The following is a 17,070-nucleotide window of genomic DNA, read 5'->3' as shown; positions in this document are numbered from 1 at the left end:
TTGTACCATTGGCCAAAGCAATTCACAAGACCAAGCCCAGAGTCAAAGGGTGAAAAAATAAACTGCTTTTCGATGAGAGAAGTTGCAAAGTCAATTCCAAAAGTGTGACAAGGGGAAGAACTTGTGGCCATTCTTGCAATCTAACACAGAGAGGCACCAAATTAGGAGAGCAAAACTTTCCCGGAAATCCCCGCCAGACCTCTCACTGTTTCTCTTTGATCAGAACTGCAGTTGGGCCTATGATCACCCTTGTCAGCAAGAGAGGCTGTGAATGCAGTGTTTATTTTTTTGTTTGTTTGTTTTTTAAATCTGGGCTGTTTCTCCTTTTGGAACAGAGTTGTAGTTCTGTGAGTAATCGGGGTGAGAGAATGGGAACTGGAATGAATATTTTTTTTTTTTTTTTGAGAGGAAGTTTCAGGTTTCACTCTTGTTGCCCCAGGTTGGAGTGCAGTGGCGCAATCTCAGCTCACTGAAGCCTCCACCTCCCGGGTTCAAGCGATTCTCCTGCCTCAGCCTCCCAAGTACCTGAGATTACAGGCTTCTGCCACCACGCCTGACTAATTTTTTGTGTTTTTAGTATAGACGAGGTTTCATCATGTTGGCCAGGCTGGTCTCGAACTCCTGACCTCAGGTGATCCACATGCCTCGGCCCCCCAAAGTGCTGGGAATACAGGTGTGAGCCACCATGCCTGACCGGGAACTGGAATGAATATTAGCAATGTCTGCCATGCATAACATGAGGAGCTACAGTGGAGCCACCTCTGTGCAACTGCACTCTCATTCTGTTTTCTACAGAAGATAGGGTGGGGGACTGATGCCACAGTCTCCACCATTCAATGGCAAAGGCTTTGTAACTGTGCAACTCTCTTTTGAGCATTTCATGATTGGTTCACCAGACTGACTCAGACATCATAGTGGGTCAAGCTTAGTGTCTCTGTCCCCTTAACACACAAAACACGTGTCTCACTGTTACCTCCTCCTCCCCTAAATAACACCCACCACACACACAGCACGCATGCTAGACCGTGGTAGAAGAATGAGCTGTCATTGCTGTGCAGTCCTTTTTGTGGCACAGGCCCTGGGGCTGATCATGGTTAGTCCAGCATGTCATTGTCAATCCTGCTGTTTCATAGTCATGAGACACAAAGCACAGACAACTAACAGCACACTGGCTCAGGCGCTTCTTATGGTCTAGAGAATCTGTGTGCTTTTGTACAGGAGTCCAGCCTCTTTCTTTGTGTGCCCTTTTGAAAAACTGAAATGTTCTTGAAGTCTGGAGACAAACTTCTGGGTGAACCGCATCTGAACTTTTAAAATTCTTTTTTTTCCCCTCTTGGTTAAATCTCAGTGGAGCCAGAGACGATCATCATTTTCATGAACACAAGCTAAAGGTTTTTGTTGCCTGTTGAGCAAAGTAGCTGCTTCCTATTGCAAAAGAGCTGATTCCTATTCGCACTGCGTTGGCGTTTTCATTAAAATTCCCATTATCCTCTTCCTTACAATGCAGTTATAGATGGAAATTGTCCTGACTGTGTTTCTCAAGCAAAATCGCTCCTGATTCAAAATATGAGAATGGAATAGAAGGGGGAGAGCCATACTTCTCCCAGTATAAATCATCTTGATAAGGAAAAGATATATTTTTTTGGTCCTGGTGTTCATAACCATTTTACATCAGTATTGTTAGCTTCATCAGCCACGCAGGAAAATAATGGATTAAAATAGAGTCATGGTGGTGGACATAGAGGTGGTAGTCCCTAAAGATGCTCTGATAATAATGGCAACCTGTTTGTTAAGGGTCTCCTCTAAGCCAGACCCCACCGCAGAGCCCATAACTTATCCATACAGCCTGGGGAAACTCCATACACTACCAACTGGCCTTTGATTGGTCTCATCGGGAAAGTGGGAGGACAGCCTTGTCACAGCATAGAGGTGCCAGTTCTGGCTCTGCCACGTGTTAGGTGACCTTGGCCAAGGAATTTATGCTCTCTGAGCCTCAGTTTTCTCACCTGGAAACCAAAGCTAATCCATTGCTAATGATGCCTTCCCTATCCTCCTTCTTCAGAAGAGTAGCAATGGAGTGAATGCGTTTGAAAGTGCTTTGTTGACTAGAAAGCTCTATCCCAACAAAGAAAGATGGATTGCCAAAGGTCGTAGAAAAAAAAAAGGTGGGTGAATCAGCTATCTCCAGTACAACCAAGTCAAATCATTCTCCTCAGAGAAGGGTGCCAAGCCTGTGCTCCCAGCCTCTACTGGGGAAGCATTAAGCCCTGTCTGAGTCCATTTTTTTGCATTGCTAGAAAGGATTGACTGAGGCTGGATAATTTGTAAAGAAAAGACATTTATTGGGCTCATTGTTCTGCAGGCTGTACAAGAAGCATGGTACTAGTATCTGCCTCTAGTGATGACCTCAGGCTGCTTCCATTCATGGCAGAAGGTGAAGTGGGAGCAGGGATCACATAATGAGAGAGGGAGAAAGAGAGGAAAAGGAAGTGGTGCCAGGCCTTTTACAACAGCGAGTTCTCAAGGGAACGAACAGAGCGAGAACTCACTCATTAAAGAGAGGAGGGGACCAAGCCATTCACGAAGGCTCCATCCCCATGAGCCAAACACCTCCCACCAGGCCCTACCTCCAATAGGGGGGATCACATTTCAACATGAGATTTGGAGGAGACAACATACAAACCACATCAAAGCCCTTTGCTTTATGCAATGGTGGCTACCATCGCCACCATTTTTTTAGTGCTGACTGAGCCAAGAAAAGTCAATCATGCATTATTTCATATAATCCTTGAAACAAAACTGCTGTGATTATACAGGTAAAGATATTGAGGCTCAGAAAAGTTACGTAATACAACATCACATATCACAACACTAGTAAGCAGGGAGGCTGGGTTTCTAGTGCATGCATGTCTGACCCCATAGACTATGTTCTTAACCATCATCAGTTACTTTTACTGGGGAAGAATAAGAAATTCAACCCCTTGAAAGGTAAATATCTGTGGAGAAAGAAACTCAGAATTGCCAAGAGTCCAACTCAGCCTGACCCAACAAACTAACCTCCTCTCTATCTCTCTTTGGAAACAAAGTCTTTAAAATTTTTTTTCTTTCAAAATCACCTTCAATTAAGTTCTATTTTTGCAAACATTCATTGAGTGCTTGTTAGGTATTAGGCATACAAACATTCTGTGTGTGTATGTGTATAAATCTATTTAATCCTTATGACAATCTATGAGGGAGATACTTTTTTTTTACTTTACTTTAAGTTCTGGGATACATGTGCAGAACGTGCAGGTTTGTTACACAGGTATACATGTACCATAGTGGTTTGCTGCACCTATCAACCCATCATCTAGGTTTTAAGCCCCGCATGCATTAGGTATTTGTCCTAATGCTCTCTCTCCCCTTGCCCCCGACCCCCCAATAGGCCCCAGTGTGTGATGTTCCCCTCCCTGTGTCCATTTGTTCTCATTGTTCAGCTCCCTCTTATGAGTGAGACCATGTGGAGATACTATTATTGTTGCCATTCTAAGGATGATAAAACTGATGCTGAGGAAGGGTATGACACTTGTCTAAGGTGACAAGGCTATTAAGTGACAGAGACAGATTCCAACCCGGGCAGTCTGATTTCAGAGCCTGTGCTGCTACATTCTATGCACAGTAAAAATGTTTGAAAGAATACACATCAAATTACTAGCAGTTATCTCTGCAGATCTGGATTTGGGTGGGAAACGCAGAAATGGAAGTTTTTACTTTATTTTTGTCTTTACTTAAATATCTGGACTTTTTTTTTTTCTTCTTTGAGACCGGGTCTTACTCTGTCATCCAGGCTGGAGTGCAATGGCATGATCATAGCTCACTGCGGCCTCAACCTCCCGGGCTTAGATCCTCCCACCTCAGTCTCCTGAGTAGCTGGGACTATAGACACGTGCCACCATGCCCAGCTAATTTATTTTTGTATTTTTTGTAGAGACTAGGTTTCGTCATGTTGCCCAGGCTGGTGTCTAACTCCTGCACTCAAGCAATCTGCCCATCTCAGACTCCCAAAGTGCTGGGAATACAGGTATGAACCACTGCACCTGGCCACTCTGGACATTTTTACAATGTGCAAATATTATTTGTATAATTAAAAAGTACCTATATATTTAAATATCTTTTGCAATCTAATTTATAAATGAATTTAAAATTATTTATAGTGATGGGACTGAGATTTTCTAGGGGATTCTGGAAATGTGGAAAAGATGTCAAGGGTGACATGGTTGTGATGAAGCTGGACTCAGTACTTACCAGGTACGTCTAGTGCCTCCAGGGCCAAGGCTTTCCTCCCCCAGCCTTGATCCGGGTGCGCGGCCAGTAGACAGGCAGAGCAGGGGGCTCTATGGCTGCATTATGTGGATTTATATCCACTGTGAACCAGAGGGCAAATGGGAAAATGTAAATTTTGGCAGCTGCTTTTGTGGGTACTGACCTCGAGGGAGTCATTCAGCTCCAGACCTCACCCTGGGAGTGATTTCCCACATCCGCTGTAATTTATTGACAAGAGTTGTTTCTCTTCCTGATACTGAAGGAATTGCCCAGCACAGTTTTGAACAAAGCACCACATGGGTCAAAGCGACGCACTGAATCATCATTTCCTCACACCACCAGCCCTGCCCAGGGTCATGTTTTTCCCTCCATCCTTTCTCATTCTCGAAGACACTGGCAGCACAAATCATCTGCAGTCATTTTCCATTGTCCTTCTGCCAGACTGAAAGGCAAATCCCCATCTCCCAGTCTTGACCCAGCCTGGCAGCTGTGACTTCGGGGCATTATTCCTTGCTGCCTCGTTGCAGGCAAATCTTTTTAAGATAAGCATTTCCCATATTACGTGATGTTAACTTAGAAATATGGAGATTTCAAATTGTCCTGTCCCAGATGTCATAAAATTAAACAGACTCTACCTTTCCATGTTTTGGACAGACTAATGAAACCATGGTATGTGTGTGTGTATGTATACATATATATATATATATATATATATATATATATATATATATATATTTTTTTTTTTTTTTTTTTTTTTTTTTTTTTTTGAGACGGAGTCTTGCTCTGTCCCCCAGGCTGGAGTGCAGTGGCGTGCTCTCGGCTCACTGCAAGCTCCGCCTCCCGGGTTCACGCCATTCTCCTGCCTTAGCCTCCCAAGTAGCTGAGACTACAGGCGCCCACCACCACGCCCAGCTAATTTTTTTGCATTTTTTAGTAGAGACGGGGTTTCACCATGTTAGCCATAATGGTCTCGATCTCCTGACCTCATGATCCGCCTGCCTCAGCCTCCCAAAATGCTGGGATTACAGGCATGAGCCACTGCGCCTGGTCCAGACTTTCTTGTTCATTGGTCATGAATAATAATGTAAGTCCCGTTTATTGCTGCTGGTTTCACACAGCTCAAATCCATACAAGAAAATGCTCTTTCTTCTGAGTCACATTTAAATTTTATTCATATTGAACTTTAAGACTTCTCCTTTCTTTGGACAAGATCTATGCTAAATCAATCTGTAGAGCCAATGGTTCTTTTCCCTAATTCTATCAAGTGGTCCCTTTAAAATGAATTTGTTGAGCATCACATTGTAACTGAGCTTGTGAAAGTTTAACCGCTCCTCATAACAAGATCTGCTGGTTCACTAACTGCAAAAACAAACAGAAAAAAAGAGTAAGAGAAAACTGAAAAGTCTCCATTTGATCTTGTATATTGAATTTACTTCCCATCTTCTAACAATGGAATGATATTCAATCTCCACTAGAACACCACTTTGACATCTATGACTTGGAGGATGTGTAATGCTAGGAAAATAGCCTTATAGGGCCGTAGGGACTGCTGATGTATCTGTGATCCTATAAAGCTGCTTGTGGGCAATGCATAACAGAGTCAGGGTTCAGTTTTATATAAGTTGGTGAAAATAAATAGGATATGCTATTACTTGGGACTTTTTATCCTCAGATCTCCATGGATCTGGAATACTAAGACTATACAAAGTTTCCATTTGGTCTCATGGTTGTCTATTTACAACACAACTAAAATGCCTGCAGCTGGGAAGAAGCGCCTGCACACTGGCGCTCCTTGTGGTCAGCTGTTGTTGTAATGGGATGCCCCAGGGAGCTGGCTCCCCCACAGGCCAGAAGAAGGTTTGAAATAAAGGGAGTGGCGCTTCCACTCACCCTGCACCAGAGCCTGAGCTCTCACTTGCTTGTGCTCACCAGGAGTGACCGAAGATCCGACGCTCTGGCTTCCCAAGATGGAACCCAGTACTTGACTCCAAGCATCACAGGTACCTTTGTATGAAAATGGAAGTGGTGACTACCTGGTGACCTCCCTACCCTGCCAACTCCCCTCCCCAGAATGTGTCCGATCACACCTCCCAAGCTTGAATTATCTTCAAGGAGTCCTTCACTCTAACAAATCAGTCTTAAAATTGAAATATGCCGGTAGAGGCAGCTCCTCACCTTTCCATCGCATTAAGATGCAAATGACTGACATCAAATGCTTTCCTGACAGCTGGTTTGCTGGGGCACACTCTGGGCTATGGGAGGGAAGGAAAACACAGAAATGGAAGCAGAGGTCTTGGTTTTAAACTTGAATCTTGTTCTCTTTGTTCAGAAATTCTTTGGGCTGTGAGGGCAGTGCTGGGAGAACAAGGAGTCCACTGGTTACATGTTCTTCCCTCTGTCAAGTGCTTTGCTTAGGCTCTCAATTTTATAGCCTCCTTTTCAATCTCTGCTATCCTTTGCCTTCCCAGAGAGGTCACTTGCGAATGACCAGATCTAATGTGCACAACCTGACATGTTTTCCCCTTGGATGGCATCTTCCTCCCTCACTGTTTTCTTTCTTCCTCTGGGATATCACTTGTTTGGGTGATTTACAGTAGAAATTTTTCCTTTGTTTATACAGAGGATGCCACGACTTCTCGGGAAGTGAGTTAGGCCCCTGTCATCCCTGTTCTAACAGTGTAGTGACGGAAATAAATGAGGGAGGGTGACTCCCCCACCTGCTGTTCCAAACAGGGAAGAGGGCTCTGTGGTATTCTCTGAGCTGAGCCTGTAGTTGCACTTCTCAAGTGCAGGAAAGGTCACGGAAGTGGACACCAGCTCTCTGCCAGTTTGTTCTGAGAACTGAGAACGGTGGTTTCATAACCGATTGCATGAAGCTGAAGAAATCAGCCTCTGCTAGGGCTGGCACCAGAAGCATCGGTTCCCCAGATCTTCATGTATTTTTCCCTACTTTGTGCCATTCTCTCTCTCCTTCTGGACCATTTCTTCCTCCCCCTTCTCACATACGCATTGCCCTACCCTCTCTTGTCAAATCATCCTCACAGAATATGACCTTAAACGTGCTCTTGGTAAATTATAAATCACTGGAAAGAGCTTTGGCTCTCCCCTTTCCCGGGGTATTACACTTTAACAAGGATCAAAGGCTTAAATTAAAAGAATTAGTCTCTCATTGGGGGTTCTAAGCCACCAATATAGGAGAATAATTATTAAAGGAGAGGTACCATGAGGCATCCCAATATCCTTGAAATTATATACTTAGAAGGTGACTTGAAAAGGTAGAATTGAAGTCGTGGATGATTCTTCATCATGCCCTGTCTCTGCTGCGATGTTTCTAACACAGAACAACTTATATCCCTCAGTCTTCTAAAGAATTCATTTAATCCAATCTCCAAGATAGTGTCTGAGGCCCTACTGGGACATTCCTGATTTGTGTTCAATCAATAGTTCAAAAATCAGAGAATTCACTGTCTTCCTAGGCAAGGCAACTCATTGACAGACATTCCCAAATATTAGTAAGTTCGCCTGTTCCATTTACTCACTGGTCTTTAGCTCATTCTTAAAGCCTTGTGGGTTACATCTACTCTCTCTTGCATATGATAGTCTTCCAAAGAGCTGAAGACAATGGTCACATCCTCAATGCCTGGTTTATTCTTCTGCAAATTGAGAGTTACTCTGGCAGAGTGAATTGAGCAAAAAATCCACAGGAGGGATATACCCCTGTGGATGTGATGGCTTTAAAATGTGGCCATAAATTAGGTGTATTCTGAGATAGTGATATAGTTAGGCTCTGTGTACAAATCTCATGCTGAATTATGATCTTCAGTGTTGGAGCAGGGGCTTGGTGGGAGGTGATTGGATCATGGGGGCAGATTTCCCCCTTGCTGTTCTCCTGATAGTGAGTGAGTTCTCACGAGATCTAGTTGTTCAAAGTGTGTAGCACTTGCCCCTTCTCTCTCTCTCTCTCTCTCTCTCTCCTGATCTGCCATGGTAGGAAATGCTTGCTTCCCCTTTGCTTTCTGCCATGATTGTAAGTTTCCTGAGGCCTCCCAGCCATACTTCCTGTACAGCCTGCAGAACTATGAGTCAATTAAGTCTCTTTTATCCATAAATTACCCAGTCTTAGGTAGTTCTTTATAGCAGTGTGAGAATGGACTAATATAGATAGACTCTGTTGTTTTCCCCCTTTGAAGCTGAATGGCTTGTGAGTGCTTTAGCCAACAGAATATGGTGAAGTGAAGCCATATATCTGTCACCTTGTTTGCTAGAACACTTGCTCTCAGAGCTGCAAGCTGACATTTGAGAAATCCAACTATCCTGGTCTGCCATTATGTAAGGAAGCCCAAGCCACAGAAAGAGGCTCCAGTAGGCAGTACCAGCTGAGCCTAGTCTTTGGTCATCCCAGCCAAGGCACTTGACATGTGAGTAAGGAAGTCCCCAGATGATTCCAGCCCTTAGATATCTGAGTCATCTCCAGCCATTCTAGTCCACCATATGAAACTCCAGATATTATAAAGACAAATCATCCCTGTTGTGCCTTGCCCAAATTCCTGAGTCACAGAATCCATGAATGTAACAAAATGATTGTCATTTTACACCGTTAAGTTTGGGGTTGGTTTATTACACAGCAAGAGATTACTGGAACAGAGATCAACCACTAAATCACCTTGACCTTGACCACTTCCGCCCAAGAGTGACATTAACACTGAATTCCCTTATTCCTTCAACTTGGTTATTAAATTTATTAATCTTACATTTAAATGGCAACTTCCTCCAGAGTACCAAAGAAAGGCGGAGATGTCATAAACTGCAGGAAGTAATCACAGGAACAGATAATGCATCAAAAACAGCACCAAGAGAATTCAAGTCTCTAAATGTTGTATCTAACTCCTTGCTGCTTTATGTTACACTCCTGATGCAAAGTCTTCATTTGAGCTCATTTATTTGGATAATAAAGACTTCCGAATCCTCAGTCCATCATCCAGTATTAATTATGCCACTTTTTTTTTTTGAAACGGAGTCTCACTCTGTCATCCAAGCTAGAGTGCAGTGGTGTGATCTTGGCTCACTGAAACTTCCACCTCCTGGGTTCAAGCAATTCTCCTGCCTCAGCCTCCTGAGTAGCTGGGATTACAGGTGCATGCCACCATGTCCGGCTCATTTTTATATTTTTACTACAGACAGGGTTTCACCATGTTGGTCAGGCTGGTCTCAAATTCCTAACTTCATAATCCACTCTCCTTGGCCTCCCAAAGTGCTCGGATTACAGGCATGAGCCACCACACTTGGCCTTTTTAAACTTCTAATTGCATTTATTTTAATGCTGAATTTACTCCCCTGCCATAAGTTTTTGTTTCTTCAATTTCTTCTGGGATATCTTTTTCCTCTGGGCAACTTCCTTTTCTGGTTTAGGAACAATCCGTTCCTTTTCAGTAAGGATCATCTCAATGTGGCAGGGAGAGCTCATGTATGGATTAATCCGACCATGAGCTCTGTAGGTCCAACGGTGCATCTTAGGTGCTTTGTTCACTAGGATATGCTCAATGACCAGAGAATCTACATCTAAACCCTTAAGTTCAGCATTACTCTCTGCATTTTTAAGAATGTGCAGCAAAAATTCAGCACTTTTTTGGGCCACCGACCTTGTGTCCAGCCCCACTGCTTGGCCTAGGCACATCTGCCAGCTCCACCATTGTAACGTCGAAATGGTACACACTGCTTCTGTAAAGTGACATTTTTCAGATACTTTGTGGCTTTTCGTATATGCATACCCTTGATGGCCTGGGCAGTTTCACGAGTGTTCTTAAAGAGAACACGAAGATTTGAACCTCTTGATTTGCATGATTTTGTGCGGTTGTCAGGGTCAAGTGAATAGTGAACCATTTTCACAGATTGCCTCAGGCTGCTTAGGGAAACAGCTAATTATGCCATCTTTAGCCTTGCATCTTCAGAGAGAGAGAATCCAACTTGGATGCAAAACCTGGGTACGTCCTTCAGTCTCCTGAGCTCTCAAACATAAGTGATGATAATATCTGCCTTGCAAGACTGTGGTAAGGATGAGAAATCAAGTAAGAAAACTGCACCAGGTACGCACTACTGCTTTCTGCAACTTTAATCAACAAATCCCCAAACAACAGTCAGTCTTCTTCTGAGTTGTTCAAAGAAGCACTGGATGGGTCAGGGCACAGGACAGGCCCATTAGTGGTGACCGCCCCTGAGCCAGTTATCAACTCATCAAATTTAATAACTGAACTGCCGTCAAATATAAGCTACGCAGAAGCAGAGATCTTAGTCTGTTTTGTTTACTGAAATCTCACATACATAGACCAGTGCTTGGCACATAGTAAGTACTCAACAAAGATTTGTTAAGTTAATGAGTGTGATTCTGTGAGTGGCTCTGTCCTCACCCACATGTTCTGGAGCCTTCATCATATACCTGAGAAATCCATGCTGTCCATGCCGTGCTGTCTTCTGGCCCAAAGCTGGTCCTGCCTCCCTCGGCCTCTCAGCTCCCAGAGGTATAGAGTGCAGGTGGCCACACCAGCAGGAAACTGACAACTCCCTCTACGCTACCCATTTTCCACTTCCTAATTACCAAGATGTTTAAACTATAACATGAATAGCCACATTAAGGCCACTTGTTATATGTAAAGCAGGGGCATAGCACATTGATAATTAAGGCCTCCCTCTGTGACAACCTACATGCTGGAGGTGTAATTACGTGTAAATAGCCCTTCGTTTGGTAGCCTTTATTACTGGGCTTAAACATACATTCAGCTAGTTATTAGTGAAATTCTATAGTGTCCTAACGAACTGTTGTTTCAATAAATGGAGTAGGAGTTTTCCAGCCTGTATTATGTTTTCTCTGCTGATCCAGGGCAGTGATTCCGTGGTGTAATTTTTTTGGTGTCTGCATATTCTCCATTTTCATTATGGAAAACTTAAATCTCAGACACTCTTAGGGCTGGAAAAACAGCCTCTTGACATTCTTTTCTGGTTCACATTGGCCATAGAAGAGATTTTTCCTTCTTTTAAGATTTGCTGCTCAGAGGGTCTCTACTCCATGCAAAAATAAGAAAACCCCACAGATTCCAGTTCTCTTCACATTTGGTTTCAAGGAAGCAAGAACTCACAATCAAGCCAACAACACGCATTTATTATGGCCTTGCTGTCCATAGCCCTGAACTAGGACTATATTGAAATAGTATGTTTTTGAGTTGGACTAGCATTATATACAAGCCTATTTAAACATGTAGATCTCCATCTTATTCAAATGAGACAGAAAAGCAAAGATGGTGGTAGAATGGGGTGTTTAATCCCTTCATGCCTTATTCTGGCTTCTGATGGTGTATAAAAGAGTGAGTCCCAGAAAGGAGTAGAGACCTCCTCAGTCCTCTTCTGAGACTGGCTTTACTTGCTTTCTCTTCCCAGATCCTAAAGCAGCAGCTCCAGAGTGTCCCTGTAGGAGGGACTTCACAGTGGCTGTCAGGAGGCTGAAGTGCTTCAAGCTGCTGTTGCAAAGCTAGTACATGGGGTGTACTTGACTCATCTGTTTGGGATGAATTGGGGCAGAGAATCAAAAGAGAATATGAAGGAATTAAAGGGGATAAGACCACCTCTTAGAACAGCTACTTCAGATCTCCTGCTGGCTGAGGGGTAAAGGGTCAAGTCACCCATCCTCAGAGACCTCTATTCTCAGTGCATTGCACTCCGTGGGGCTCAATCCACATGTGGGGAAGAAACGACAGTTCCTATGGTTAAAGAGGTACCATTTCTCCTGTCCACCATGTAGCAATTTCAGAGATGTGGGTGCAGATGACCTCTGTGCTTCCCAAAACTCTGTTGCTTTTAGAACCACAGGGGAGAGAAGATGATTTTAGACACAATATACCATGTTATTGGCCAAAAGGAAGGCCCGGAGAGACGTGGTTTAGAGAATTGCATTCAACAGGCACTGGAGCAGAGAAATATCTTAGTTTTGGAACCACAAGATGAAAAAGATGCACAGAGGAACTCATGGCCTCCAGGAAATGCCCATCAGACATTTCTCCAATGCTGAACCCGAAGTTTAATGTGTTTGTTGAATAAGTGGGTATTCCTGAATATTGTACACATTTAGCCAAACTTCCAGGAGGCTGAGAAGTCCTCTAATGGCTGCCTCATGAAAATCAGAGTAGTGGCCTGGAAAGATGGAGTTGGGGGCTGCTTGCTGGCCCCAGGACTGGTCTCTTCCCACCAGCTCACCTTCCATCATCCCTCTCCAAGGCTATTTTCCAAACTCTTAATTCCTTTAAATGTTTCCACTGCACTCCACCTCTGCAAGAAGCCCTCCTTAATCACTGTACTTGCTATGCCTCTGGCTTTCCCTATATTTGTATCTTTTCTTCCTAGAGACAAACTGTGCACTGATTCTAAGAGGAATTTTCTTGAGAGTGAATTATGTGCTCAGAAATTAATCACTTGCAAGGAGTGGGGTTGAAGGGACGCCTTAATATATGGCAGGCTCTATACTAGGAACTTTATATGAATCATTCCCTTTGAGCCTCCCAACAATCCTGCATAATAACTAGTGTCTTTTAGACATATCAGAAAACCGAGGATCCTAAAAATAACTTCTCTCATACAGATAACAAAAGTTTGTTGCGTGTCTTATATGTGCCAGGCAAACTGCTAGGTCCTAAAGAGGTGACTTTGAAGAAGACGGATATAGACTCAATCCTCCAAAGTGTAGGAACTAGCAGGGATACAGACAAGTAAACAAAATAGTCCATTCTACAGGAAATAAGAGTGTGTAGTCAGGAGAGAGATCTATGGTAAAGGGACACGTGAAGGAGCCTCTAATTCACTAGAGAAAGGGATTGCTAAACTGAGAAAGAAGGGAAAGAGTGGAAAAGTCAAAAGGGGAAAGGGGAAAGGAAAGAAAGTGCTTTCCAGGCAAAAGAAGCCTCATGTGCAAAGATCTGCAGGCTTGAAGGCAATGAAAGGACAAGGTGGCTCAGCTACATCTGCTTCCAGACAAGTCCAGTATTAGCTTACAAGGATACGAAAGCTGGGACAAGAAGGCACAAATCAAAGAGAGGAGCTTAAGACAAAATAAAAACAGAGATCGAGGTTTCAAATGGGCCAGGAATGAGACTTCAAAACTGTGTACCATCATGGTATGTATGCTTGTTAGCAGAGAGCCACCAATTTGACTCTGAGCTTTCTAGAAACCAGTCCTGGGGGGAAAAGCTGGTGGTTTCTCCAGATGAGACTTCCTTAGGAAAATAGCAACCATTGGTCCAGAGAGGCCTAGAGGACCTTACTAAGCAGGCTGGGATACTCTCCCCCGGGAAAGCATCCTGATGGCGTCCACATGATGGGATGTCCTGGCTGTCATCCCAAAGCACCTTTCATAACAACAGTTGAACTAGGGGCCCTGAAACATGATGCAGGGGTCTCACTCTGGATCCACAAAGGTCGATTCCAGGGAAGACCTTAAAACAGCAAAAGAACAGAAGAATAATTTATCCTTCAAATAAGTGTCCCTAGGACAGCCTCTTTCTGCCAAGTTTAGAGCACATTAATTAGAAGTAAGTTACAAACTATTTCCTTACAAATACTTGGAATTCAGCTCTTCTATGCTGCCAGTTCACTGTAGACCTTAACATACTATCAAGACTGTATACTGACAGTAGAGTATGCCTCAGTGAAAAAGCATCTCCTTTCTCTCCTCTCCCTCTCCTCTCTCTCCTCTCCCTCTCCTCTCTTCCTTCAAGACCTACCCCAATGCCATCCTCTCTACAGAAGCTTTGTACTTTTCCAAAACCAGAATTACTTCTCCATGCTTCAATCTCTCAGCATGTGTTACCCTTTTAAAGACACGTAGCACATTCAGTTTGGTGCCGGGCATCTGCAGATCTTACCTCCCCTAACGTGCCCATCACAATGCCATCCTCATAACCAAACTCAATAAAACCTGATCCAATGAAAGCAACATTCTCCAAATACAACACTGAAAAGTCCTCATTCTTCAAATCACTACTTTTTTTGGAGGGGGGAGGGGGTCACTCTGTCATCCAGGCTGGAGTTCAGTGTTGCAATCATGGCTACTGTAACCTCAAACTCCTGGGTTCAAGTGATCCTCTTGCCTCAGCCTCCCAAAATGCTGGGATGACAGGCATGAGCCACTGCACCCAGCCAATCACTACGCTTTTAGCAAGCATGTGGATTCATTCATTCATTCATTCATTCAGAAGATGTACTCAGTGGTCTGTGATTTTTTTGTGTGCAATGGTTTGTCTGGCACATTGAGCTTCCTTAGTCTGCATGAGACCTTTTGTGACCTCCCCATCTACAATGGGAGGTCATGGGTAAGGGTCATATCCTTTGAGGAAATGTAAGAGCAGATGGGATGAGGAACTGGAAAAAAATGTAATGCAGGAAACAGCCTTGACCTCTGACCCTGACACACAGACTGAGTGGATTAGAGATCCTTATAGGCAACTGGGCCTTATGTTGTCATAAAATACAAAGGCTAACATTCACTGGACCCTTGATAGGTAATAGAAATTGTGCTAGGCTTCTTAAAACATTTTAGTAGTCAATGTGACAATAATTTATTCAACCGTGACAATAACTTATGCATTATTGTGAGAATTTACAGATATAGGGCACTAAGTAGTTAGTAAAATACTAGAGGTATCAGCGTTAGTAATTTTCAGAACAAGAATTTGACCTCAAATGCATTTGACTTCAAAGCCCAGTTGGGAGACTCAAGATATGTCACTTAACTCCTTAGTCACATAAGCCTCGGTTTCGTCATCTAAAAAGACAGGCAAAAAATAGTATTTGAAGGATTCTTTTGAAGGCAAAATGAGGAAATACACATAAAGCATTCAGTACAGTACAAGGCAAAAAGTAGGTACACAATGAAATTTTGTTATGGATATTAGGAAGCTCTGCTGTTTAATTTCAAAAAGGAAATTTGTATGCATTAAAAGTGAGCTGTTTTAGCCAAAAATGGATCCAGATTCACCAATATTTTAGAGGGTATATTAGTTTGCTAGAGGGTACATTAGAGGGTGTATTAGTTTGCTAGGGCTGTCATAACAAAGTACCACAGACTCAGTGGCTTAAACAAAAGACATTTATTGTCTCACAATTCTGCAGGCTTGAAGTCCAAGATCAAGGTGTTGGCAGGGCCAGTTTCTTCTGAGGCCTCTCTCGTTGGCTTGTAGACAGCCACCTTCTCCTTGTGTCTTCACGTGGCCTTCCCTTTGTGCTGTGTCTGTGTCCAAATTTCCTCTTATAAAAACATCAGTCGTACTGGACTGCAATCTACCTAATAACCTCATTTAACTTGATTACCTCTTAAAAGACCTTATCTCAAAATACCGTCACATTCTGAGGTACTAGAAGTTAGGATTAAACATATGAATTTTAGGGGGATGCAACTCCCATCAGACATTTCTCCAGTGCTGAACCCCAAGTTCAATGTGTTCATCGAATAACTGGGTATTCCAGTTTTGGGGGGATACAACTCATTCCGTAACAGAGGGTCTCAATCAAACCTTTCTAGAAATATTTTAGTGCTTTAAATTTTTTTTTGGTAGAAGGCATGTTAGAGCATCCTCACTTGGCTTTGAGAGGAAAGCCCATTTTAGAGCCTTCAGTAGACAAATTATTCAAATTATTGCTTATTTAAAAATGACATTAGTCAATAGGAACTACGGTGGCTTTGGTGCGTTTATTTTTATTTTGGAATCTCCGAAGTTCCACACTTCCCTAGGGCTGCAGGCTATTCACTTTATGCACATCATGACTGAAAAGCATCTTGGCCAGGATCCTTCTTTGCCAAAGTCTAGGACTAGAATGGAGAAAAGTATAAGCAACAGAGAGAGGCTCAATGGAGGTGAGTATATTTTTTCCTCAGGACACTTCCTCCTTTTAATTTTGAAAATAAGAGCAAGGTCACAGGTACACTGGTAGACACATAGTAGGTGTATTAAATTACAAACTATGCCGGAGCTGGGTGCAGTGGTCATGCCTGTAATCCCAGTACTTTGGGAGACCAAGGCAGGTGGATCACCTGAGGTCAGGAGTTCAAGGCCAGTCTGGCCAACATAGTGAAACCCTGTCTCTATTAAAAATGCAAAAAAAGAAAAAAAAAGCCAGGTGTGGTGGTGCATGCCTGTAATCACAGCTACTCAGGAGGCTGAGGCAGGAGAATCGTTTGAACCCGGGAGGCCGAGGTTGCAGTGAGCCTCGATTTCGCCACTGCACTCCAGCCTGGGAGACAGAGCAAGACTCCATCTCAAAAAAATAAAATAAAATAAAGTAAATTACAAACTATGCTCCTGTAACAAAGCACAATGGTAAAATAGATTCTTTTTCTGGGTTTGAGTGACTACATTGATGACCCCAATTAATAGCACCCTGTATCTGTCCCCTTGCCTTGTAACTATAGTTTTACCCACTCTGAACAGGTCAGCCTGTGACTTGTCCTATTCAGTATAACATGGCAGAAGTGGTAGAATTCCTGTTGCGAGCCCAGGAATTCCTGTTTCAAGCACAAGGGCCCTTAGAGACAGACCACTTGGGCCACTTCTGGTTCTATCAGTTTCTAATTTCATGGCCTTAGGCAAGTGTGTAACCTCTCTGCATCTTAGTTTCTTCTTTGCCAGGAAAATGGGCGATAGTAATTCCAAGCCCAAAATCATTGTGAAAATTAAATAAAATCATACTAGCAAAGTTTCTTGTAGGTTGTAGGGACACAGTAAGGATTGTGTC

The 17,070-nt window shown here is 43.2% G+C and overlaps 1 pseudogene; it reads right to left on the bottom strand.

The window, feature by feature from the left end:
* RPL17P33 (ribosomal protein L17 pseudogene 33) lies at positions 9,590-10,203 on the bottom strand (annotated as a pseudogene).

The sequence above is a fragment of the Homo sapiens genome, chromosome 8 (genome assembly GCF_000001405.40).
Source record: "Homo sapiens chromosome 8, GRCh38.p14 Primary Assembly".
Classification (NCBI taxonomy): Eukaryota; Metazoa; Chordata; class Mammalia; order Primates; family Hominidae; genus Homo; species Homo sapiens.
This window is presented reverse-complemented; position numbering and strand designations above follow the sequence as displayed.